Source organism: Homo sapiens, chromosome 10 (assembly GCF_000001405.40).
Source record: "Homo sapiens chromosome 10, GRCh38.p14 Primary Assembly".
Classification (NCBI taxonomy): Eukaryota; Metazoa; Chordata; class Mammalia; order Primates; family Hominidae; genus Homo; species Homo sapiens.
The window spans coordinates 117,153,016-117,179,304 of record NC_000010.11 but is presented as its reverse complement, the minus strand read 5'-3'; the positions used below and the strand labels follow the sequence as shown (position 1 = coordinate 117,179,304).

At 47.9% G+C, this 26,289-nt stretch overlaps 1 long non-coding RNA gene and 1 other non-coding gene across 3 annotated transcripts, besides 3 other annotated features; both read left to right on the top strand.

The window, feature by feature from the left end:
- Positions 4,007-4,186: an enhancer, noted in NCBI's record as "active region_4096". NCBI's record gives its function as "activates an Ori minimal core promoter by ATAC-STARR-seq in GM12878 lymphoblastoid cells {active_cell/tissue: GM12878}" and the evidence as "EXISTENCE:reporter gene assay evidence [ECO:0000049][PMID:35858748]".
- MIR3663HG (MIR3663 host gene) lies at positions 10,250-25,784 on the top strand. 2 transcript variants are annotated; one of them, NR_121651.1, is made up of 3 exons: positions 10,250-10,445; positions 18,465-18,691; positions 25,642-25,784. It is a non-coding gene; the product is annotated as an MIR3663 host gene (long non-coding RNA). The 2 variants fall into 2 exon arrangements; NR_121650.1 differs by lacking the exon at positions 25,642-25,784 and having other exon boundaries at positions 18,465-20,649.
- MIR3663 (microRNA 3663) lies at positions 11,531-11,627 on the top strand. The gene has a single exon (NR_037436.1). It is a non-coding gene; the product is annotated as a microRNA 3663 (primary transcript).
- Positions 13,158-13,712: an enhancer, noted in NCBI's record as "H3K27ac-H3K4me1 hESC enhancer chr10:118925104-118925658 (GRCh37/hg19 assembly coordinates)". NCBI's record gives its function as "activates a minimal SCP1, AML or CMV promoter by ChIP-STARR-seq in naive H9 embryonic stem cells {active_cell/tissue: H9 hESC(naive)}" and the evidence as "EXISTENCE:reporter gene assay evidence [ECO:0000049][PMID:30033119]".
- Positions 19,189-19,945: an enhancer, noted in NCBI's record as "OCT4-NANOG hESC enhancer chr10:118918871-118919627 (GRCh37/hg19 assembly coordinates)". NCBI's record gives its function as "activates a minimal SCP1, AML or CMV promoter by ChIP-STARR-seq in naive and primed H9 embryonic stem cells {active_cell/tissue: H9 hESC(naive and primed)}" and the evidence as "EXISTENCE:reporter gene assay evidence [ECO:0000049][PMID:30033119]".
- Positions 25,785-26,289: the final 505 nt, after the last annotated feature.

The following is a 26,289-nucleotide window of genomic DNA, read 5'->3' as shown; positions in this document are numbered from 1 at the left end:
GCTGTCCATTTCTGAGAATGTTCCGCGAGGTGAATAATTTATGCCACTTATTGATTCATGGTCCTTAAAAGGCTGAGGTTAAAGGAGACTGAAGGTTTCCACTGAGTGGGAGCCCAGCTTCCCTGAAGGCATTTCTTGCAGATGCTTGGCTGCTCCACACTTGGGCGTGGGGGATCGCTAACTAAAAATATCCCACAGTACAAAGTCTTTTGTATGAAGATCATGAATGTCTTTGATAAAATGTAAATATGTCGGAGAAAAGGTAAATTAAGCATTTAAATTACAGCTAAGAAACCTCATTGGGAGTTGGGGGGAAGATGACCGTCCCCAATCCTTTAATCCTTGCCTGTAAGAGAATGATACGGCCACACCCTCTGCCATGTGACTGCAGTGCTGCCTGATAGAGCTGGTGAGTATTGTACACCCAGAAAATCTGAGACAGGTCTCAGTTAATTTGGAAAGTTAAAATAAGGTTGAGGGTGCGCCCGTGACAGTCTCAGGAAGTCCTGATGACATGTGCCCAAGGTGGTTGGGACACAACTTGGTTTTATACATTTTAGGGAGATATGAGACATCAATCAATACATGTAAGAAGTACATTGGTTCAGTCTGGAAAGGCAGGACAATTGGAAACAAAGGCAGGAAGACCTGAAGCAGGAAGGAGGCTTCCAGGTCATAGGTAGATGAGAGAAAATGGTGGCATTCTTTTGAATTTCTGATGAGCCTTTCCAAAGGAGGCAATCAGATATGCATCTATCTCAGTGAGCAGAGGGATAACTTTGAATAGAATGGGAGGCAGGTGTGCCCTAAGCAGTTTCCAGCTTGAGTTTTTCTTTTAGCTTAGTGATTTTGGGGTCCCAAGATACTTTTCTTTCACAGTATTAACATGGCCTCTCCATTAAAATTTGGTTTGGTCACGTGACTTGTTTTAGCCAGTGAAATAGCCGTGATGGCAGCCAAGGTTTTGAATGTGTTTGCATGGATTGGTTTAGCCCCTCGGGCTTCTGTTATGCACCATAAGAAGAGCATTTTCTGGGAGCTGTTGTTCCTAGACACCTGGTGCCCAGAGGCCCCAGGAACCCCATCTGAAGCAAAGCCAAACCAGCCAGCCCACAAACCTGTGGCAGATACCAGAGAATCAACAAGGAGGTGTGATGTGGTTTGGATGTTTGTCCCTCTCAAGTCTCATGTTGATGTGATTCTCAATCCCTTATGAATGGTTTAGCACCGTCCCTTCGATGATGAGGGAGTTCTCGCTGTTAGTCCACATGAGATCTGGTTGTTTAAAACTGGTGGGGCCTCCTCCGTCATTCTCTTGCTTCCACTTTTTCCATGTGATACACATAACCCCCCTTTGCCTTCCACCATAATTGGAGGCTTCCCAACGCCCTCCCCAGAAGCAGATGCCAGCACCATGCCTCCCATACATTCTGCAGATCCAAGAGCCAATTAAACCTCTTTTCTTTCTAAGTTACCCAGCCTCGGGTATTCTTAATAGCAACACAAGAATGGCCTAATTCAAGGTGTTAGGAATTGGCATATCCTGGAGGACACTGTCATCCATCCCCTCTTAATGACCCTTCACTCTAAAGAGCACTTTCAGCCGGGCAAGGTGGCTTATGCTTCTAATCCCAGCACTTTGGGAGGCTGATCACTTGAGCTCAGGAGTTCAAGACCAGCCTGGCCAACATGGCAAGACCCCGTCTCAACTAAAAATACAAAAAAGATAGCTGGGCATGGTGGTGGCGTGTGCCTGTAGTCCCAGCTACTCAGGAGGCTGAGGTGGGAGGATCACTTGAGCCCAGGGGCAGAGGCTGCAGTGAGCCGAGATGGTGCCACTGGACTCCAGCCTGGAGAGAACTCCTATATGACCCAGAAATTCCGCTCCTAGATACATACCCACAAGAATTGAGAACAGGAACTCAAATACTTGTATATGAATGTTCATAGCAGTATTGTTCACAATTGCCAAAAAGTAGAAACAACCCAAATGTCTATCAGTGGACGAATGGAAAAACAAAATGTGGAATATACACGTAACAGAATATTATTCAACCATAAAAAGGAATGAAGTATTGTTACATGTCACGATGTGTATGAACCTCAAAAGCCTTATGTTAAGTGAAAGAAACAAACACAAATGGACAGAAAGTATATGTATTTCTATTACATACCCAAAATAGGTAAACCCATACAGACAGAAAGCAAATTGGTGTCTGCCAGGTGCATGAAGTATTGGGAATGGGGTCTACCTGCATCCTGGGTACAGGGTTTTATTCTGGAGTGACAAAAAATATTTGGCCGGGCATGGTGGCTCACGTCTGTAATCCCAGCACTTTGGGAGACAGAAACAGGCGGATCACCTGAGGTTGAGATTTCGAGACCAGCCTGACCAACATGGAGAAACCCCGTCTCTAATAAAAATACAAAAAAATTAGCCGGGCGTGGTGGCATGCGCCTATAATCCCAGCTACTCGGGAGGCTGAGGCAGGAGAATTGCTTGAACCTGGGAGGCAGAGGTTGTGGAGAGCTGAGATCATGCCACTGCACTCCAGCCTGGGCAACAAGAGCGAAACTCTTTCTCAAAAGATACATATATCTATATTTTGGACCTAGATAGAGGTGATGGTTTACGTAACATAGTCAATGTACTAAATGCCACTGAATTATTCACTTAAAACGGTTAATTTTGTGTTATGTAAACTTTACTTCAATAAAAACAAAAGAGAAAAGATTATGTCCATACAAATGGGGTGTTTAATAACCAGAAATACCATATGGACTTAGTGTCATCTCCTCTATCAATGAATCCGCTCTGGAGTAGGAGCATACTAGGTCTCAGAAGCTTGCAAATTTTATTCTTTTTTTTTTAACCGCCTCACTCCGCTCCCAAGAAGCTTGCAAATTTTAATCTGAGTTAATTTGCAAGTGGATTTGGGTAATCTGGCTCTAGATCCACTTAGAGGGTGCCTGTAAATAACTGTCTTGAGGGCAGGGGAAAGGCATTATGGCATCAAGCAGATAAAGCCTCTGATCTAGTTACAGTTCCTTCCAGGGATGAATAAAGCTTTGGGGACATTATCCAACCGCTTTATAAACCCAAGTTTATAAGGCCTGAACCCTCAAGCCCTTGAATTCCTTGTCACCACCTACAAATTTAGATGAGTTGCCGCAAGGGGGCAGTGGTGTCCAGGCGATGACCTCCCATGTTGCGCAAATTCGTAGAAATACTGAGTTTCAGATTCTCGAGTTTCTCTCGTTGAAAGCGGTAGCAATTATCCCCAGTCCACTTAACAAGCCAACAGCCATTTAGAAAATATGTATGTATATTAAAGAAAATACTGGATCTGGAAAAAGATCTTTCGAAAACATCATGTCCAACCAGGGTTATTATACAGAAACTGGGTTGAGAGAGGGCAGTAATTGGCCCAGAGCCACGGAGCCAGGCCTGGAACCCAGGTCTCGTATATTCACGTCCCATGCTCTCGGTGCTGCAGCCTCCTGCTCCCCTGAGCCTTTCTCCGGCGTTCAGCACAAGCCATGCCTGCGTGGTGACATGAGCACCTGTCTTTGTTGTTCCTACAGCACAGTTCCCGTCCCATTTCACCGCTGCCTCCAAATTCCCACCCCAGCTGCGCCACGTCTCTCAAGCAGAGCTGGCGATCCGAGAGCAGTGACTGGGGACGAGTGTCCACGCGGGGCTGACGAACTGTCAAAGCCGCCACCATCTGTCAAGACCTATGAGGACGCACACAGCACGGGCAGGCGGGCAGGAGAAGTGGCGGACGCAGTCGGCCACCCAGCATCAGCTCCGGAGGCGCGCTGCTTCACCTGGTGACCTGTCCCCGGCCTACGGGTCTCCAGGAAGCACTCCAGTCCCTGCCAGATGCTAGCGGGAAGGCAGGAGGGGGCGCCGTCCCAGCACCCCGGAAGCTGCCAATCTGCTTGCGGGGCTGAGACCGATCTAGGAAAGGGTAAGCAAAGATGCACGCGCCTGGGCGGCACGCAGCGGATTTCCAAGTCGTCTGCACAGATCATTGACCCCGCAGGACACGTGCGCATGTTGGCAGGGCCGACTCCGGAGGAATTCCAACTCTTCTGAATCTGCCACCTTGCAGAGGGGACAGCTGACCCTTCGCCCCATCTCTGAAAGGGCCAAGGATCTTTCCTCTCATTGCTTCCTACTGAATGCCCAGGATGCCTCGGTGTTGCCTACCTTCCGCAAAATCCTCAGGGCTGGATCGTTTTCGGAAACTGCCACCAGAGGGAGCTCCAACAATAGAGCTGGATTTTGCTTCCTCCCAGCTCATAAAGGAAGTCGGGGGCGGGGGAAATGCTGTTCTCTGCCACCAGCAGGTGCAAAGATCAGTTTAAAACGCCCAAGATTGTAACTTCACTACTAATTCGTGAAAAGCATATGGTGGAATAATGCTGGATCTGCAGAGTGACAGAATAGCTGTCCTCCACCGTGAGTTTCCCTCATTTCAGACTCAAATACTTCAGACCCAAATGATCTCCAAATCAGAACTCCTGCCTCTGCATTCAGTCTGTAGTGTTCTCTCCAGAGGACTGAATCCTAGCACCCTCGCTCCCCTCCCCTCCTCTGCCAGGCTTTACAGCCTCCGGAACTGCCCTTTCAACCAGAACAGAGCCCAGACTGTCACCTCGAACATCAGAGGAGTCCCAGCCCCATTCCTGAGTGCCCCTCTTCCCCCAGCTGCCCTGTGAACAGTGATAAGAGCTGTGACTGTGTTCTCCAGGCACTGAAATTAAAGTCAGAACCACTCCGGCTATAGATTCCATGTGCCGCTTCTTACTGCAGACCCTCATCTCGGTTTGGGATGGGGATGTGGGCAGTGTGTTTTGCTGCCAGGATGAAGTGGTTCAATTCTCCTAGAAGGAGATGCAGCAGTCACGTCCAAAAGCATGACAAAGCCCACCTAAGATGACCTGTATCTTAGAATAGTCTGAATTCATGAGGCTTCCGTCCTCATGTGAATATGTCACTAGCACTTGTTCCTTCTTCTGGGGGTATACTCAGCCAGCAATTTCCTTCTTTAAGTTTGGAGACAGTTGTAAAGAGGGGAGAACCCTTGGGCTCATGGGCCTTTAGTTTTCATGCAAAATCTAAGACCTCACCTAGTGGGGGAGGCAGAGAGAATTGGCCCTGACTTTCAGGTTTGGGGGTTCAGCACAGATCACTGTTGTGGGATCCAGACATTCCTGCACCCAGGAGATGTGCAAGGACAAGCATGAGAAAAACTGCATCTGGCCAGGCACAGTGGCTCACGCCTGTAATCCCAGCACTGTGGGAGGCCAAGGCAGGTGGATCACCTGATGTCAGGAGTTCAAGACCAGCCTGGCCAACATGGTGAAACCCCGTCTCCACTAAAAATACAAAAATTAGCCAAGCATAGTAGCACATGTTTGTAATCCCAGCTACTCAGAGGTTGAGGCAGCAGAATTGCTTGAACCTGGTGGAGGTTGCAGTGAGCCGAGATCGCACCACTGCACTCCAGCCTAAGCAACAGAGCCTTGGGGGAGAAAAAAAAGAAAAACAATGTATCTGAGGCGTGCGTGACTACTGGGTAACGGCAGCCATTCCTGGGGATGTCTGGAAAGGCTTCAGAGGGCAGGCAGACCTGAGTTCCTCCTGCCCTCTACCAAGAGATGACTGCAGCCTCCAGCCTGGCCTGCACTGGCAGGCACCTTCAAGAGGGACGACAGGACCAACAGGGAGCTGCTGCTGTCCCCCAGGCCTCCCCTGCTCAGGTCTCATTTGCCATTCATGACTTGTAGCTGAGATGGGTGGAAGGCGCCCTCTGAGGCATCTGGGTTCAAAACTCTGAATGAAGAGAGCACTTGCATTCTCTTTCTTCTCATGCATGGTCAAAAATGCAGACTCTGTCCAAGATGGTGCACACTCAGGGTTTTGGTTCAGGGATGATCAAGCCCCTTCATCAGTGATTTTCATCCTCATGTCAGCTAGTGCCTCCTCTGAAATGGCCTAGAGCCTTCATGCCATTGCCTCTGCCTTCCCCAGCATCCCCATTTCACAGGGCAGCTTGAGGAAGAGGGGCAATGAGGAACAGGGCTGAGACTCCTCTGATGTTTGTGGTGACAGTCTGGCTCGGTTCTAGTTGGAAGGGCAGTTCCTGAGGCTGTTAGTTCCAGACCAGCCTGGCCAACATGGCAAAACCCCGTTTCTACTAAAAATATAAAAAGTAGCCGGGTGTGGGGGTGCACACCTGTAATCCCAGCTACTCAGGAGGCTGAGGCAGGAGAACTGCTTGAACCCAGGAAGCAGAGATTGCAGTGAGCCAAGATAGCGCCACTGCACTCCAGCCTGGGGACAGAGTGAGACTCCGAAAATAAAAATAAAAATAAAAATGTGCACATTCTGTTATTCATGTGTGCATTTTAAAAAAAATGGCCTTATCAAGGATGAGGGTTTTGGCATTTGTGCAAAGCCTGAGGTTTTAGGAAAATGTCGTTGATGAACTGACGCTGGCAAGACTCTCCATTTACAGTAACCTGTGACTAGAAATGTCTCACGTTGGGAGAAAAATGAGGAATCCGGGAGAATAAGTGTCATGGTGGGTTTATGTGGGGCATTTTCTTCTTTGTCCAACACCTCAGATCTGCAACCAAACCAGCAAAAGCTAGTACGTCTCAGGAAAAACTTCTGCTTGTTACCGAGCTTCCTGGAAAATTGCATTTGGAGAGCTATGAAGGCTTGGCTGTGAGTAATTTGTTTTTTAAATAGCTCTGTTAGTTGGTCCACATTGTGTTTTTCATTCCACCAGAGCCGAAGGTGGTGTTTCTTTTGTTTATGGTATTAGTGTTATATTATTGGTGATCTCATTGTTCTTGTTTGTGACATGTTTACCTCAGTAGGACAGTTATTGTAGGAGGGAAGTCGGGAGCCAGTCTACCCACCAAACCTGCAGAACTAAAGAAAAAGACTCCAATCTGTCCCGCAGGGTGCATATTACTCCTTTCTTGGATTGTTAAATTCTAATTATAGGCTGTTGATCCCCATTAGAACCATTTGTAAGCCTAAACACTGTTGTGCAGCATCTTTTGCCAATAGGTGTGTTTCATTCCAATCGTTGTATAAAACATAACATTCGTGCTTTTGGGGGACTACAACAGGTTAGTGTTCTCTGGCAAAGTTGGACAAGAAATAGTCAAAATATGACTCAAAACTAAGATAGTGCAAACAAAAGTACACTTTGCCTTGATGTTTATTTATTAGGGATTTCTGAAACCCTAGGACACTAGAGCTCACCTTTCAGATCTCAGACCTCAGATGCCACATCGTCAAGGAAGCTCTCCTGGACTGCCCACTTCCACATTCCTGGGACAGCAGAGATCTCCCCCAGCCCTGCCTGGCACTTGACACAGTGGATCATTTCACAGGACTGGGGGATTAGTTAACTGTCTTTCCACTAGATGGAAAGTTTCAGAGGAATCCTGTCGGGATTACCGATGCCTAGTATGATGCTTAGCACACAGTAGGCATTTAATAAATGTGTTGTGTAGTGCCTGTGTACTGTTTTATTTGGGAATCTTCAGAAGGTAAGAAAAGCAAATGGATACATTCATAATAAGTATGAGATGTGGAGAGCAAGCAAGTCCGTAGATTATAAGACGTAAGCAAAATTCATAGTATGTGTTAAGTAGAAGAGGGGATGAATAAGATGGAGCTGTGAGACTCAGGAAGAACTCACAGAATTCACATGGATAATGAGTAAATCAATAACCTGTGGGAGATGTTGAAGACAGATACAATAAGTGGAACATATAATAGAACAAACCAGAGTGCTATGGACCAATAGAGAGACATTAAAAGACCAAGTTGTAAGATACATTCATGCTACATCAGGGCTGACAGCTATCTGATTCCCAAAATCAGCCACTCATCCATCGGTGACACCCATTATGGTCCCAGTTGTGTTCTGCCCAAGAAGCACAGATAAACAGAGAGAGCTGTTCAGGAGGCTAATGGATGCTCCTGCTGTGGCCAGGAGAACTTGCCCCTGGCTCTCCAATAGCAAAAGCGTGTATCGTTGCCTCGGGCACCTTCTTTCTGTTGGGTCCCTTCACTCATCCTCAATTATGGTCCTTGTAACCACATCATTAAGAAAGAAAGTTAATATGGGTGGGAGGGATATGGGTGGGAGGCAATATGTGAACATTGCATATTAAATGGCCCAGGATTCAGGAAGGGGACTTCCCACCTGCTTCTGTGGTATATGTGTTAACCTACCCCATCTCTTTCCTCTTGCTTCTCATTGTGTGTTTAAAATTTATTCAACAATCTGTATGATTCAAGTATCTTAACTAGATCTTTCTATTGTATTACCTCCAGAATAGTTTGCCTGGTAGCGCAATAGTTTGCCTGGAGATTAATTTCCTATACAACATATTGAAATAGTGCATTGTGAATTGGCTACTATGACTGCTGATTAGGGTGAGGGTTAGGGTTAAACCAGTTTCTGAATCTAGCTACTCCCCCCTACCATAAAAACCACTTGCATTCAACAATTAGCCATTGCATTAAGTGCTAAAGATACAATGATGAGAAAACAGCCATGATTCCTGCCCTCATGAAGTTTAGAACAGAAGAAAGACTATCTGGTAATCACACAAATAAGTAACAAATAAATCTAACGTTTTAACCAGTGATAAACCCTCTGAAGAGAAAGTGCACTGAGGTCCTCTGAGAGCATATGCCAGGGGAATTTGACCCATTCAGAGAGGGTTAATTAAGCTAAGGGAAAAGGCATAAATGTCTCAGGCAGAAGGAATTGGCTATGCAAAGGCCACGTGATGGGATGATGTCATCAACCATTCTTTCAGCAGACAGCACTGACCCCGTGTGCCCAGCCGCATGCTAGAGGCAGGAATACAGGGGAGAAAGACCAGCACTGCCCCCAAGAAAAGCCCACGATGACTGTCGGACCTAGGAGGATCCTTGGAGAACCTGAAAAGGTTTCACATTGCATGGAGGATAAGACTAGAGCCTTATAAGATAAGACATCACTGAGAGTTCAGTTGTTAATCCTGGGAGGGGTGAACTCATGAATGATCACTGGGTGTGGTGGTGCATCCCTGGCTCTAGTCTTACCCTCCATGCAACGTGAAAACTTCTGATGCCCCAACTCAAACCTAATTTTCAAGCCTTCGTTAGCTAAAATCTCACCGAAGTCCAGCTTTAGGAGAAATAACAGATACTATTCCCTGGCTTATGCCAAACTCTTTACATGCATTGTTTTGTTTTTTTATCTTTGTAACAACCATGTGAGATTGCACTAAACTGACACTCAGAGAGAAGGTAAGTCATGCCCCCGAGTCATTCAGCTAATAAGTGAAAAGAAAAAAAAAAATCAAGATCCAAACCCAGGTCATTCTGGCCCTAGAGCTGAAACTCAGTGAAAACCAAGCTCTAGCCAGGAATTGTGGTTAAAATAAAGCTTCAGCCAGCTGGATACTCCAGGGTGTTTAGGAATGTGAAGTTTGTGGGTATATCTTGGTATTGTGGTTGTGTTGATGCTATTGTAGTTTTGGTAATGTGGTCATCTCTTGACAGTACATGCTGAAATGCTTGCAGATTAAGTGTGGCAAGGTCCAGGTTTTACTTCCAAATAATCTGTGTGAATAGGGGAAGCAGTGTGTGTGTAGGTTTTGACAGCTGGGGAGGCAGAGTCCGTGGGAAGGAGGGGAGGAAATAGATTGACCATAAAATAGATTTGCCTTCGTTATTTGGAGGTTGGGGACAGGTGCATGGGAGTTCACTATAATATTCTCTTTTCTTTCCTATATGTTGGAAATTTTCCATAAAATGTTTTTTTCCAAAACAAGTTAAGTTCTGGGTTATGTTTTGATGGCCTACTCCTTCATCTCCAAATCCCATAGACTTTCACAATTATATTTGCCCCCGTAATTGGAAGTTGTATGGGGCTGTTTCAAAAATCTGAGTCATCAAAGATGTAATTGACTTCCTACCGCCGGATTAGCAGGCAAAAATGTACCCGATACTTTCTCTACCGGCGCTGTGTTGGGCTCTGGGCTGAAACCCAGTCTCTCACAGGCCCTCGGAACAGCCCCACCAGTTAAGATCCATCCCTGACTTCCAACTCTGTAACTAGGGACAAGTTAATTGACTCCTCTTAGCCCTTAGTGTCCTCATCAATTATTACGTGGTAATAACCCCTCAGAGAGTCGCCGGGAGAATTAGCTCGGCGCGGTGCATGGGGCTAGAACTCAGGGCCCAGCAGGTCTGACAATGCAGGTTTCCCCGCTCGCCTGTTGGGTTTTTGAAACGCCCTCAGCGGGGTTTTCCTCCTAATTCTGGTTTGGAGGAGCCATCTCTCTCCATCCCGTCTGCCAGCGGGGTTTGCTTCACACACAGACGTGGGCAGATGGCATCGGGGACACAGGTGTGACTGCCGAGAAGGTTGCGGCGCATTGGCGGTTCGGTTCACGGGACGCGGGCGTGGGGTGTGTGGGGTGGGATGGTGTCGGGGGCGGGGGGGGGTGGACAAGAGGGTGTTTGGTGGTGGTTGGGAGTCCCGGCGATCTTTTTAAAATTCAGATGCCAACAGTTCTCCACCCCTGAACTTGAATGGGCTTTGGGTTTTTGTTTATTTGGGGCTTTTCTCCTCTTCCAAAGCACAGCGCTTGCCCCCAGCGGCCTGGCGTCGGGCTGGAGCCCGGCAGAGGGAGGGAGGAGACCGGCATCCGCGCTCGCTGATCAGAGAGAGCCGGGCCTGCTGCTGGGGAACGTGGAGGGGCTCCGGACAGCCACGCGCCCTGGCCGGTCACGGAAAGCTCTGAGGGACATTCGGTCGGCCGTCGGGGAAGAGGCTGGCCGCCGCAGCGCGAACTGGGGGTGCGGGTGGAGCGGCTAGAGGCGCCGGGGTGAGTGGGGATGGAGCCCCGAGGGCGTGGTGCGCGCTCGGCTTCCTGCCGCCAGGGGGCGCCCACAGGCAGAGCCGGGCGGGGCGGCAGCTACAGAGAGAGGGGTGCGTGGAGAGCGACCAGGCCAGGCCTGCAGAGCGCAGCCCCGGCGCCATGTCTCCAGGCTCGTTCCGACTAGTGTTGGGTCACCCTCGGCTCAGCCCCGGGGGAGGACGAAAGGGTTGCGTGCAAGGCCTAGCACCCAGTGGCCATTCATTAAATACGTGCTGGCTGACGAGCTCAGGAACGGCTCTAGGGAGCAGCTGGCTCGGAAACCTCAAGTCCAAGCCCACTCATTCCCGTCTCCCTCCCCGACGGCCTTTTAGTTACCGTGCCCTGGGCCGCGACGGCTTCCTTTTAGATTGGGGCAGCAAGGGAGCCCCTGCGCAGCGAGGACGCCGACGGGGCGGCGGGGAGGGGTTGTCCGGCGGTATCCCCGCTCCGTGCTCCTCGCCTTCCACTGCCTCCCCGGGACACAGCAGTCATGGCTTCGACTGTGACTTCTTAACTGGCTCCTCCCTGATCGCTGAGCTAAGCCACAGGAGAAGGGGAGGAGGGCTTCCTTCCCGGGACCTTGGTCCAGGCGCTGGTCTGCGTGGTGCTCGGGTGGATAAGTCTGATCTGAGCACCACACAGGCCGGGCGCCGGGACCAAGGGGGCTCGACAAGAGGATCTCAGAACAAGCTGAGTCTCTGGAACTAGCTGGGGTGCGTGGAAGTACGCGCCACGGCCCGCGATTCCTGGGAGCGTGTCTCAACTTCTGCCAGTGCCAACGCAGGAGAGAGAATTGCGGCTCAGAGAGGGTAGCGTGAATGGAAACCGAAGGGCGAGAGCTTGGCTCTCTAATGCCACCCAACTTAGTGGTTCAGAGCTTGGCCTCCAAGGAAGATTCAGTTCAAGTCCCCGCTCTCCAACTTACCAGCTGTGTGATCTTGGGGGAAGTTAACCTCTCTGAGTCTGTTTCCTGCTCTGTAAAATGGAAATTTAAAAACTTAAACATCTACTTCGGTCGAGGCTGTTGTGAAGAAGTGGGATTGTGGGTGCATAGCTCTTAGCACAGTGCCTGGCACAGGTTAAGGCTGGATACGTGGCAGCTGTGAGGCCCAGTGTTCTCGTAGCTGGCCTGGCCAGATGCAATCATAAGCGAAGATGACTCACTTCCCACAGCAGAGGTGTGCGAAGCCCTGCGCACCTGCTGTAGTCTGCACCCGGGCAGAAGAGAACCCAGGAGCGTCGGGACCTCCAACACTCAGCCCTCAGGGCTGAGGACACTGCGCTGTTTCTGCCCCTTCTAAAACCGGAGGCCGCGATGCCCCTGTGCAGTACCGGCTGGCGCCCACCCTACAAGCTGATTCCTGGGGGCCTTTCCTGCAGCGGACGCCGGCAACCATCACGACCGACCTTGACTGAACACATGTGGGCATCCTAAGGACATTACCTCAATCCTCACACCATTCCTGAAAAAAAAAAAAACAAAGAAACTGGTGCTCAGAGAGGCGAAGTAACTCACTCAAGGTCACACAGCTAGAGGGTGGCCAAGCTGGGACTCCAACCCACTCTGGCTCCGGAGCTGGCGCCGCTTCCTTCCTACCTCTCTATCAAGCTCAGTCTCAAAGCCTGGGACAAACCATCCGGTTGGGGTGGGAAAGGCCACGCACGTCCTGGGGTCGAGGACCCTGTGCCCACGACAGCAGTCTTCTCGGCACCCGTAGAAGCCAGTGCCAGACAAGTTGGGTTGGAAGGGGCAGGCTGGGCTGGCGGAAGGGGGCTCTGGGCCCCGCCCTGCCTGCGCCCCCCGCGGATCACGCCTCCGTGCTCAAGCTCCTGCCAAGTTTGCCCCCATCTCTCAGGTGCCCTTGGACTGAGTGACTAAGCACCTCGGCACCTCTCCAGCCTGGGGTGCGAGGAGGGGCTGGCCCTGATACCCACTTCCTTTCTTCTCTGGAAAGCCAAGGTGCCAACGAAAGATGCCCTGGAAGCTGGTGTTCCTTAAAGAATGAACAGTCCCAGCTCCAAACGTGTCTCTCTGAACGCAAGCCTCTTCCTTCCGTTCGCCTGGGCCTGTAGTCGAAGTCTCCTTGGGTCCCCAGCCCCCTCCCGGGTAGACGTCAGCCTGGAGGTGGATGCCGGAGTCGAGAAGGGTTGCGGACCATGCTGGGGACCTGGCTCAGGCAGTCAGGGGTCCGGGTCCTCTTTGGGGAAGTGAGCGCTTGAGGAGGAGGGAGAAAGGCTTTTGAGTACGGCTTGGGGGGACTTCTTGAGGTCCCTCGGGATAGCTTCTCTGTTAGGCGTGTAGCCAGGAAAGGAGAAAAAATCTGTCCCGCGCAGCCCAGGGAGGAGCCTTGCAGCTGCGGAGGGGGGCACTTTCGGCGCTGGATACCAGGGGGCAGTGCTGCGCAGCGAATCTGCCGGGCTCCAGCCGGCAGCCCGGGGCAGCAAGTTTGCTGAATTCCCTCTGTCTCTCGAATCCGCTACGAAGTTCCTCCCAGGGCGCTCCTGACGCCAACAGCCCCCTCGCCCCGTAACATGCGAAAGAGGGCACGGTCCTCTCTGTCCGCGCGTTGCCGTCGGTGCGGGCGTCCTGGCTGTCTTTCCTTGGTAAAGGCAGCTACCACCGGGTTGGTTTTTGACCACTGACTTGGCCCTAGGGAAACGTAAGGTGGGGTGGCGGGGTGCCCCGTCGGGTTTTTGCAGGCCGTGTGAGCAACCTCAGAGTAGAGGTTTGAGGGGACTTTCTCAGCCTGGGCTGGAGCCCCCAAAAATGCAGGCGCCGCCTTTGAGAGGAAAAAAAAAAGCGCTGGAGGTTGGCCGCCTGCATTTGATCGCCTTCCGAGTTTACGTAGAAATCCATCCGAAGAAAGGTCCGATAGAAGGCGGAGAAGGCGGAGGCCCACCCCTGTCCAAGTACGAGCCATCCCCAAAGTACAGGGATGAGAAGGGGGGCTGAACCTTCTCTCCAGGACCCAGCGCCAGGCCCACTACACCCCCAGAATCGGTGTTGTTTGGGAAATGCCTTTCTATCCTAAAGGAGGCTGTGTCCAGGCTTAAAATATGCAGAAGCAGTGAGCAGACGGGACCCGGTGACGTGCGCGGGGCTTTTCCCACCCAAGGGGCTAGGAACTCCACTCCCTGTCCCGTCCCGGGGAAAGAGACCGAGCACTCGGCTCCGGGGCCAAATGTGAGTCCAGGAGCTTGGTGAAATAGAAACCGGACATATTCTCTTTGGACTCGGCCTCCTTTTGCTGGGATTTTTGTTTTTGGTTTCTCTCTCTCTCTCTCATAGCGCTTTGCAATACATAAAATAAAAACGCATGTCTGTGTGTGAATGCTTTGCCCGTTCTTTGAAGAATTCACACTTTAAAATTGCTTTCTGTGAGCGCAGAGGAAGAACATATAAACCACCGTTATGTAATTTGAAACCATCAATAGCCCCCTTTTAAGGTTGTCTTTATTGTGGGAAGTCAAGGTAATGATTTTGTCGCTGTCTAATTTCATCCCAATGTATGGCGTTGCTTTTATAGCCTTTCAAAGGTAAGTGAAAGGCATCAATCTAGGGCCCTTTTTCTGGCCGATTAACAGTTTAAACTGGTTTTCTAACCCTGTCACAACTATTGGGCTGATAAACAGGATTTCTGCGGAGGCATTAGCAAGTCTGTAAATAAATCATTAAAAAAAAAAAACACACACACACACACACACCACCTCAGGCAATTCTAAGTTCCTCTGACAAAAATAAACCATAAGTCCACAGGGGTGTATGTGTGTATGCATGTGTGTGTTTCTCACCTCCAAGAAGAGGTAGTTACAAGTGACCTCTCAAGAGTTATTTGTGTCCTGGTTATTATTATTACTACTATTGTCATAATCTTAGGAGAAAGTGAACAAGCTGACGACACAGGGATGGAAATCAATGAGCTTGTGGGTTCTGCATTGACTCTACCTTATTGTAGGAAATGTCCCCCTTTAATCATGGGTAAGCCTGGCGCTGCTGCCAACCTTCTTTGACATAGAACGGTCCAAATAGAAATATCCCGTTTTATTGCAACGGGTCCTTGGAAGAAGATACTTTATGTGGACGGTACTGGGACAACTGCTGAAGAAACGACAGACATGAAGGCATACTTGACACCAACATAGAGATACCCATCCGTCACCTTTGATCTCCCCTCCCCCATGCCACTGAGAAATAATTTTTTAAAAAATAGAAGCAAAATGGCAAACTAGACAATTTGAGACTTAAATAAAAATAGCTTTAGGCCCAGACCCACTGGAAGCTTTTTCTTTTTGACGCTGCCGTGTTTCTCTGATGCAACAGAAACCTCTGACCCCCCGCCCGGGGTCTCGCACCAAGGCCAGACAGCCCCGCTCCCGGGGTCACCCGAGGGTTACCTTTGGGTGCAGGCGCGGCCTTTCTCCGAAGGGAGGGGCAGCTCCCCTGCCCCTGCAAAATGAAGGAGAAATGATAAGCAGCGGTGAAACCGTCTAGAGGCCCAGCCTGGCACCCGCCCCGCCAGGTGCTGGGGGAGGCGACAGCCTGCAGCGCCAAGGGGATGCTCCTCGGGCGCAGCGGGCGGGACAGCTTGGGCTGTCCCTTTTGTTTTCAACGCTCCTCTTGCGGCGAGTTCCGGGAGTTTAGGGCCCCGGCCCAGAAAGGAAAAAGCGAGAAGGCGCGTCTGGGCTCTGTAGGAGTGCAGCCGCTGCCGAGTCCAAGCGGCCCCAGGCCAGGCCAGACGTTGAGGTGAGGTTGCCCAGCAGGCGGGGACCCCAGCTCGGAGAGGGTTCTCCGCGTCCCCAGCCGTCGGCGCAGGAAGTTGAGGCGGCCAACATGCCTTCGTCCCCACTCGACTCCCGGGCCCACGTGCTGGTCCACGCCGGGGACCTGAGAGCATCGCGACTAGGGGGCTGCGGGACGCCTCCCGAGCGTCGAGGAAAGACAGGACCGGGGGGAGCAGGCGGGGCCCACGCGGTTGCATTTCTCGCCCCGCCGCCGCCTTCAAGAAGCAGAACCCGGAGCCCCACCTGCACCCTCACTCCGGCCCCCGAGCCCGGCCTGGCCGGCAGTGCTCGGGGAGGCCCTGGGTGGCGCTGTCTCCTCCCCTCCTGCAAACGCCACCGCCAGAAAATCGCTCCCACCCCACCCGGCCAGGCGAGCCACCGACCCGGGGCTGCGTCCGCCTCGGTTCAGCCTCGGTTCAGCCTCTCCGGGTGCGGATCCCGGACCCGGCCAGCAGACGGAGGCTGGCGGAGCGCAGAGTCCCGGCGACTCCCACCTCCCGGAGGGGGCACGGGGACTTGCGTGGGGCGGGCGGGGGCCGGGATTCCGGGCGGGGCGAAGGGACCCAGCTCGGCTGCGGGGCGCGCGGTCGCTCTCCCTCAGGACTGCGGCTCGGATCCCTCCCTACCTCTCCCGGTCCCTCGCAGGACTCTACATCGCCTTCGGCGTTTCCTCTCCCTCCCGCAGTTTCCACCCTTCGGCTTGTCTTACTCTCGGCTCCTTCGCCCACCCTTTCCTCCCCATCCTGTCCCCCGCCCCCACTCTTCTGCAGTTTGTAACTGAGAGCGCCCCAAACAACCCCATCAAGCCAATAAACCCAAAATGTGAGCACTGCCCAAACCCGTGTGCTTATCCTGCCGCTTCTAGAAGGCAAATTGATACGGGGTGGATTTGGAACGGCTTTCTCAGAGAGGCCCGAAAGCTTTCAAAAATTCTAAGTCAGGAGACAGCTGGCTGTTTTCTTAGCACCTCTGCAGCGCTGAGGATGTCTTCATCCTCCTCAGACACCCCCAGCCCGGGGATGTTAGCCCATTGCCCAGATGGAAGACAGAGCAGGGAGGTAACCCCAGCGGTTACAAACTTGATTCTTCTCATGTGGTGGACTCCAGTCTTTTGAATACGATCTCTACCTCTTGTTTTCCCTTCTTATTTAATTTCTTGATGTTTTCTTGGATGGTTTAAGCGACAGGAGGAAGAGAGGGCAAAGGCAGCCCCCGTACCTTTCAATAGAGTGAAATGGCCTGAAATTACAGCTACATAACTATCAAAAATGAAACTGTGTTTGTGAAAATCTGTAACCCTAGCTATGTAATTGGAGACATTCATGAAAGAAGGATATTGCACAGGTGAAAGTGATTTTTCAATTGCTTTCATATTTTTAATATTTTTCCAAATTGTTGAGAGGACTTTTCCTGAATACAAGGATGAATGTTTCGGCTTGGAAAGTTCAGTGTAGCCCTAGTCATTGGAAGGCTACAGTTATCATAAATTGCTTTTAAAGTGTTTATTAAAGTGATTGAAATTTGTTTCTTTAAAAAAAAATAGTCTCTGAACTTGCAAACTTCCTACCTTACCAAATAGACTTTCCTGAGACTTGAAAATGGTTCCCATGAACTTTCTCATGGCAAAATTACACAGTAAACATGTTCCTGGAACTCTTTTTTAAAAGGAGTTGGAGCCCAATCTTCACAACCATTCATTTTCCTGCCAGATTCTTTGCATTGGGCATTTCCTTGTGTGCCTGGGACCTTACTGTTGTTGAAGCAGAAGTTCTCATATAGGAAATTTTGCATTACTGAAGAACTCTGCTTTAGGGCAAAGGCTGAAATGATACAGGTTTAGGCATCCCATGCCTACTGAGTGAGAGGTCATCGCATTAAATATTTTGAGCATGCTGACAAGGTAAGGAAGATGCAGAAACTCCTGACCAGATTCATGAAGGCTGAAGACAGAATTCTAAGCAGTCCCTTGTTTTGCATGAAGCACTGTGATATTGAGGAAGAGGAGGCGTTAAGATCGGAATTGCCCAAAGTGTCTACACACCTTCATATTTGTTACTAATTATCACCCCTTTTCCACTTCTCGTTGTGTTTGGCCAGCCCTGAATACCTGGAGACTGATCCGAGAACTGTTTGCTTTCGTTTCTTCCCACATATTTTTATTAACAACTTGAACTGATCCTGCCTAATCCAAATTCTTATACTTTGATCTTGTTCCTTAGCATCCACATTAAAGAGTTTTTCTGTTTCCACCAAATTTTTACCTCCCCCCCTTAACTTTTTCCCTATGCTAGTTCTCTCTGCTTATTATTCTCCCATTTATTCTCTCGACTTGAGGTTTCTGTGATGGTTACTTACATTAGTGACCACATTGCCAAAGCACCTTCAAAAGTAACTGATGCCCTTTATTACGTACTGGAGTTGCGTTTAACCAGGGAATCCTCATCAAGCCACAAAGGTGAGGGAGAAAACTGAGATAATTACATACAGGTAACAGGGCAAAAACACTGTTTTGTCTCATCATTGAGTTTTTTCCAAATGAATGTTTTTAAATTAGAAATATCAGATTAATGACTGTAATAAAAATATAAATTGCCTCTTTCCAATGTGTATTCAGGCCAGGATCCTCTTCTGCCAGTGACACCATGAAACAGAAAAGTTGTGTGTCTGGCCCCCAAATGCTTAGTTCCTGTTACTAACAATCGATATGGCGTTCTTCTTTGTAGGGAAACCTGACCTTAGAGGAAATGGAAAAGTTGGAGAGACACTGAGCACTGATACGAAATAATTCTCTTGCTGAAATACACGAAAGGAGTCCCAGCAGCCATATTAGTATTTCCACGTCCTGTGTCAGCCCCAAGTAGAGAGAACTTGGAATGGGAGGGGAAATGGCAGCCATCAGGAAATGAAATGCTGGCCCAGAGAATTCTAAGCAAGTCAATCACCAGTCCAAGTAAGGAGGTGTTTTTTGTTTTTGTTTTTGTTTTTGTTTTTGTTTTTAAATATCCACTTGCCATTTGTTTTACCCAATTCAAAATTTTTTCCCAAGAAAAAAAAATACACTTGTAAAATGCCTCATTAACAGCAAAGATGAATTGGACCTCAACTTTTGAATGCCATGCTGCTTTAAAGGAAACTGTAGAAGTTCGTGGAATGAAAGAATACTGCCAGCATGCATTCGGACTATTTTCCATCTGTGTGGTAGAGTCTGAGCTGTGTGTTCTACAGAAGCTCCAGTTGGCAGAAGGACGACTTTGGCCCTGAATTTTCATTTATTTTTGTTTCAAAAATGAAAGGATAGTTGCTATTTTTCCAAAATTTAGAATTTTAAATCACTACCCACTTTTGATCTCTGATTTAAATCTTGTTTTGAGAGACACATTAGACAGTCTCTACATATTATATTATCTTGCAAGGGAAAAAAGGAGAAAGATCGGAAAGTGCTGACTTTCTGTGTCAAATGAATGGATTATTGGCTTCATTCTTCTTTATTTTATAAAGGTTTTCTTTTCAAGAAATGCAGAACTTTACCAATACAATATATATCAGTCTAATCGGCAGTCATAAAATGGGTGGCATGAGGGTGGAATATGGCAGCAGGGAGATCTCAGCTGGCAGCAAAGCATGAAGTGGTGATTGTGTTTTTATGGAAAGCCTGTTTTGTCCAGTGGCTGATGAAATTCAAAATGGTCCCCTAAGCCTATCTCTGAAGCCAGCAGTTCAGAAGCAGTAGAGCTAGCGGCTCTCTTAACATCTGTACCCTGCCCCCTATTTACCCAGCGACACCCCAGCCCAGAGCACCTCCAAATGTAAGACTTAATATAACCAAATGGAAGCTGCTAGGAGGTACTCAGTTCCAGGATCAACAGTTTTTGCTTTAAAAAGAAGGTAGCAGTTCAGCCCCTTGTTTGTTTTTGCCTACGCATTTCCCTACCAGCGGGAGACCATTACCCGGGACAATGTTTTATTCCATTGTCATTATCTCCTACGGAACTAAAACAATGCTCTGTTTGGCCTCCCAGGCAAGGGGGATTTGTTCCGCTCTTCTTTAAGCAGAGTTTCCAACTGAGTTTCTGACCCAGTCACTTGATATCCAGCAGGGATACCTGGTGACAATTTTTTAAAAATCTGCTATCTTGTGTTTTGTAATTTCATTCTCTGAGAAGTAGCCTAGAAACTCGATTCTCAATCAAGAGGAATCACACCATGGCTAAGGGAAGAGGGTTTGCTCAAGCTGCATGAGCTCTATAATTTAAATCAGCCAGATAGGATTTATTTATAGTTGTTTTATCTTTTTTTGTTTTGTTATTGAATAGCAAACCCCAAAAGGTTTCATAACATTGTGTTGTTGATTCTCAAACCCCAAAAGGTTGGGAACCACTAGAGCTGAGATGTTTTCCATTAGACCAGGGTGTTTTTTTCTATTTCTTTTTAAATACATAAGTAAATTATAAATGTAGATAGAGATGAGATTGAGATAGAGATAAATGATGCCAAGATTTCTAACATTTATGACAGATGTTGATGAACAATAACTCGTTGGAGCTATTTTGTCATACTTGAGATTTTCCAGAAAATAGAACAAGCCCACAGAATGGGTTTAATCTGCCAAAGCATCTCCCTCTTTACAAGCATCTACACAGGCCTCCAGCCCTAAGTACTTTCACCTGGACAATGTTATGAAGCTTAATCCAGTACTAGTAGCAGAAAGACTTGTTTACTTTGGAGCTAAGGAGTGAGTAGGACACTTAAGACTTTGTTTTGTCCTTGGACTCAAGGCAAACTAATGGTTAGCATCACTCCAGTTGTTGCTATCATTTTATTACTCATATGTAGCTATGAGTAACTTGAGAAACTGAAATGTAACTGCTGCATATAATAAAAAATCAATGGCCAAGACTGGCTACCTGAGGAGACTGAGTCCCATGCTAATGAGGCTAAGATTTTATACTGATTTTGTTTTGCTCTGAGATGGTAATCTAATAACCCCCGTCTCCAGCAGCTCGGTGGCTGAATTGGTGGAAACCTATCCTCAGATGGCTAGTGGAGAAACAGTTCAGAGCCCAGATCATGCTGGAGAGCAGGAGAGCCTTGGTGAAAGATGAAATGGCAAAATGCTTAAGAGTTGGGGATCAGGAGGCAGACACACCCACATTTGAAGCCTGGCTCCCCCATTTGCTCTCTAGGTGATAGAGCAAGTTACTAACCACTCTGAGCTTCTGTTATTTCTAAGAGTAGAAGAAATAAAAGGAATAGTGCCCCATTATTTGTAAGAAAGTGTGAATGACAAGGTGCATGTAAAGCATTCCACAGTCAATATTAGCGATTGTCACTATTATTTGTGTATACAATAAACAGCACTGCCCATGGAAGGCTCTAACTCTAGAGTCCTTCCCAACCCTGTCTCTATCACTTGAAAGAATATCCACTCTGTGAGTGTTGTGCTTACACATTTTGTTCCTAGAGCCCAGCCGACTTACTGTCATGCTCGAGGGAAGCTTCATTTAGTTGATCTGTTTGGGTTATACATTTATGGATTTATTCCACAAATCACAGTGGTCTTCACAGTCATGATGATTCTTCTTTATGAAAAATAGTTGAGAAAGCTAGAATATATTTTTAAGCCCTACTTGGGAACCTACAAGCAGAAATTAACTGGCATATTACTGTGTTCCATTTAAGTCTAAGAGGTTGAAATCATTAAGGCCAACACGTTTTATTTTTCCTTAAGGATATCAGACATGTGACAAAAAAAGCTTTCATAAGGAATGCCTGAAATAGGGGAGAAGTTCTTACAATGGCTTGTAAGAAGTTCTCATTTCCCTACTGATGGATTGGGAGGCTCAGAGAAGTCTATGGAACAAAAGAGATCCACTCCAGCTTTGAGTGAGACAAAATTTTTAAGGTCATGGCTGTTTTTTTTTTTTTTTTTTTTTTTTTGAGAGAGAGAGTTTCACTCTTGTTGCCCAGGCTAGAGTGCAATGGTGTGATCTCGGCTCACCACAACCTCTGCCTCCCGGGTTCAAGCAATTCTCCTGCCTCAGCCTCCCAAGTAGCTAAGATTACAGGCATGTGCCACCACACCCGGCTAATTTTGCATTTTTACTACAGACGGGATTTCTCCATGTTGGTCAGGCTGGTCTCAAACTCCTGACCTCAGGTGACCCGCCCGCCTCGGCCTCCCAAAGTGCTGGGATTACAGGCATGAGCCACCGCGCCCAGCCGTAGATCATGGCTGTCTTTAATACCATTTCCTTAAAGTTCCCTAGTCCTAAATGTGTGAATTCTGAAATATTCTTAAAGGGTCATGCTTTTGATGGCATTACATTGGTTTTTTGTGATATGATCCCATTACACATCATGATGTCATGGTGTATGATGTGTTTGCAGAAAGTCCAGGATTATGGCAACAAGTGAACCGGATAACCCTTCTGCTTTCTTACAGCTCTTCCGAAAACTTCCTTGTTTTGCCTTTTCAAACATCAGGGGCGTGACTTATAACAGCCAAATTTTGCCAGCATGCTGTGTCATGGGTTCCAGTCCGTGGAGCTCCGTCATACTCTGTTGGGCATCCTGTGTCTTATTCCTCTCTTTAGGTCCAGTTTCTACATACCTTATCTGTGTTATCTCAGGCTTCAGAAGCTTCTCCGTAACGTGGGCTACTTTCCCCTCATCACTGGGTATTTATTTATTTATTTTTACTGAAGCCTGAGCCCTGTAACGTTACCACACTGGCCACAGCTTCAGGAGAGAGATCACTGCTCTCAAGAACTTACAGTCTAGTGATGGATACAAAGGTACATGAAAAAATAACTAGCAATGGAAAACAAAGCATGAAATGCGATGAAACGTGGTCAGGATGCTAAGTGCTATGACATATCACACTCGGAACCTCACTTTGCTCATATGAAAAGCTGGAGAGAATCTTCCCAAGCTTAGCACATCCTCATAGGATTTTGGTGAAAATCAGATGAGATGGTAGGTATGGAAGATTTCTGTCAACTACAAGTCAATTACGCCAAAAAATTAAGAGGTCTTGTCAAATCATAAAATTAACAGAATTATTATTAAACCTTAAGAGGGCACTTGAGATAATAAATGCCAGATTTAGTAGCATGGTAGTATCATTCTATCTGGGGTGGGGGCAGGAGGGAGGGAGTGCCATAGGAATGGGTACACAGAGGGCCTTCAATTCCATTGGTGTGCTGTGTGTCTTATGCTCAGTGGTGGTTATACAAATGTTTGTCATCTCATTCTATAAATTTTGGTGGATATTAAATATTATAACATATATAGTTTGGTTATTGAGGTTTTTTGTTTGTTTGTTTTTGTTTTGAGATAGAGTCTTGTTCTGTTGTCTAGGCTGGAGAGCAGTGGCACAATCTTGGCTCACTGCAACCTCCACCTCCCAGGTTCAAGCAATCCTCCTACCTCAGCCTCCTAAGTAGCTGGGATTACAGATGCCCGCCACCATGCCCAGCTAATTTTTTATTTTTACTAGAGACGAGGTTTCACCATGTTGGCTAGACTGGTCTCCAACTCTTGACCTCAAGTGATCCGCCCACCTCAGTTTCCCAAAGTGCTGGGATTACAGGCGTGAGCCACCGTGCCCGGCCAGTTATTGAGTTTTAGAAGTCTCATTTTCGGGATGAGGAACTGAGATCTAGACAGAGAAATGCTTGCCTAGAATCAAACAGCCTCTTAGTAGCTAAGCTAGTGCCTAGATCTTAATTGTTTCCACTCCCCCTCAATGTGTATTTCCTTTGTCCTCTGTAGATCTTGCAGTCATCCTGGATTCCCCTTTCCCTCATACTCAATCCAACAGCAGGTCCTGCCATGTCTACCTTCTAGCTATGGGCTGCATCTGCGCACTTCTGCCCCTTGCCTGTGCATCAGGACATTCCCCAGCCGCCCTTGACTGAGGGTGGAAGGGGAAGCGTAGAGTCAGGCAGGGCTATGGTACAGGTTTCCTGGTTGGGTCTAAACTGAAGGAGCATTGTATTTATTCAGATGGAAAACATAAGGAACCAGCACATCTGTTATGTGTACTTTCATGAGACATTTATGTAGTTATATTTGAAAGTACTCTAACAGTATCATGTGTTCTTTAAAAAAAAATTTTTTTTTTGAGATAAGGCCTTGCTCTCTCACCCAGGATGGAGCGTGGTAGTGCAACTGTAGCTCTCAGCAGCCTCAAGCTCCTGGGCTCAAGTGATCCTCCAGCCTCGGCCTTTTGAGTAACTAGGATTGCAGGTGTGCAACACTACGTGCAGCTATTTTTTAAATTTTTTATAGAGACAGGGGTCTTACTACATTGCCCAGGCTGATTTGGAACTCCTGGCTCCAAGCGATCCTCCTTTCTCTCCCTCCCAAAGTGCTGGATTACAGGCATGAGCTGGTGCTCAGCCTGAAGTGTTGTTTATAAATACATATGTGCATGGGGAGGTGTTTAGACATGGTTCTGCAGCCATTGGAAGAAAGGCACCTGCTTCTCTCCTATGCTCATCTTTGAATGCCAGGATTGAGTTCCACATCTTCAAAGTTGCCATGGGCACAGTCTGGCTCTCACCCCGGCCAGCGCTTTCTTTCTTCTGACCTCCTTCCCCACAGGCAGCCTGGACCACAAAGTTTAGCCCTCAGGAATGTCTTGATTCATTTGACATTTCAGTGGAAGATTAGAAGTATCCCGCACTAGGAGCACATATGGCAGGTGAGGTCCCATCCTGCAACCCAGGAGGCTCTGTGCTCCCTGAGAGTGGGTTTCAGCACATTATGTGGCAGGTAGGTGCTCCTTAAATATTTGCTGGGTGAACGAACGAAGAGCCTCCTCACTGGGGTCCCTATTTGCACTCTTACATTGCTATGAGGTATCTTTACACTGCTACAGGGGTCTTTTAAAAGCATTGATCAGATCGCAAACTCTTGTGGCTGCCCATTGCTCTTAGAATAAATATAAACTCCCTCTCGTAGCCTACGAAGCCATTCTATGGCCTGTTGCCTGCTTCCTTTCCAAGCTCTTCTTTCACTCTCTCCTTGACTCAGCCAAAGGAGCCTTCCTCGGTTCCTCTAATATGCTACACATTCCTGCCTCAAGGCCCTTGCCCTTGTCTTTGTTCTGCCTGGGAATCTCTTTCCCTGGTTCTGCACATGCTTGGCCAAAACAGTCCCAGTCACACATTCTATGACCTTGTAGCACTTAACACTGTCTGAATTATCCAGCTGATTGATGTGTTTACCTGTTCCTTGCCTGCTGCTACCCTCTCCCTCTAGACTTAAATTCCTAAGCCAGGCACGGTGGCTCACGCCTGTAATCCCTGCACTTTGGGAGGCTGAGGTGGGCGGATCACTTGAGGTCAGGAGCTCGAGACCAGCCTGGTTAACATGGTGAAACCCTTTTTCTACTAAAAATACAAAAAAGTTAGCCAGGTATGGTGGTGCATGCCTGTAATCCCAGCTACTCAGGAGGCTGAAGCAGGAGAATCACTTGAACCTTGGAGGCAGAGGTTGCAATGAGCTGAGATTGTGCCACTGCACTTCAGCCTGGGAGACAGAGGGAGACTCCGTCTCAAAAAAAAAAAAAAAAGTCCTTAAGAACAAAGCCAATGTTTGCCTTTTTCACTGCTATGTCTCCAGCCATTTAACCTAAGAGTGGCAATTCTTAGTTGCTCAGTAAATGAATGAATGAAAAAAAAGTCATTCCACACTGTTATGGACTGAATTATGTTCCTCCAAAATTCATATGTTGAAGTCTTAACCCCCAATATGACTGTATTTAGAGACAGAACCTTTAGGGAAGAGATTAAGTTTAAATGAGGTCATAAAGGTGGACCCCTAATCCAATATGGCTGGTGTCCTTTTCAGAAGAGGGACACCAGATCTTTCTTTCTTTCCTCATGGGCACAGAGGAAAGGCCATGTGAGGACATAAGGAGGAGACAGCCATCTATAAGCCAAGAAGAAAGCCCTCACTAGAAACCAACTCTAATGGCACCCTGATCTTGGATTTCTAGCCCCTGGACAATGAGAAAATAAATGTCTGTTGTTTAAGCACCTAGTCTGTGGTATTTTGTTGTGGCAGCCCCAGCAGACTGACATACACACCATCTTACCAGCTGGCTGGCCTTGGACAAATCATTTAACCTCTGTTTGCCTCAGTTTTTTTACCTGTTAAATGGAGTTAGTCATAGTCCCTGCCTCGTAGAGTTGTGGTCAAAGATTAAATGAGTTAATATATGTAAGACCGTTAGGATACTATTTTAGTGTTAACTGTTTGTATTAGTGTTAGTAAAGCAGGTTTAGTTACATTTAGTGAATAACAGCAATAATGCAAAATTTTAGAACTCCTGATAGGACATCTGGAAGGAAAATGTCACTGCAGGAAAAGGTGGCTTGGAGAGGTGCCAAAATTAATGGGCAGATGCAAGGGGACGGAAGAGGAGAAGAAGTTCTCGGGGAGACAGGCTTGGAGGAGACAGGCTATGTGTCTAGGGGCAGCACACAGGGTAGTCTGGCTTGGGCAGAGAGACTGTAGAGGAGAGAATCTTATTTTTAC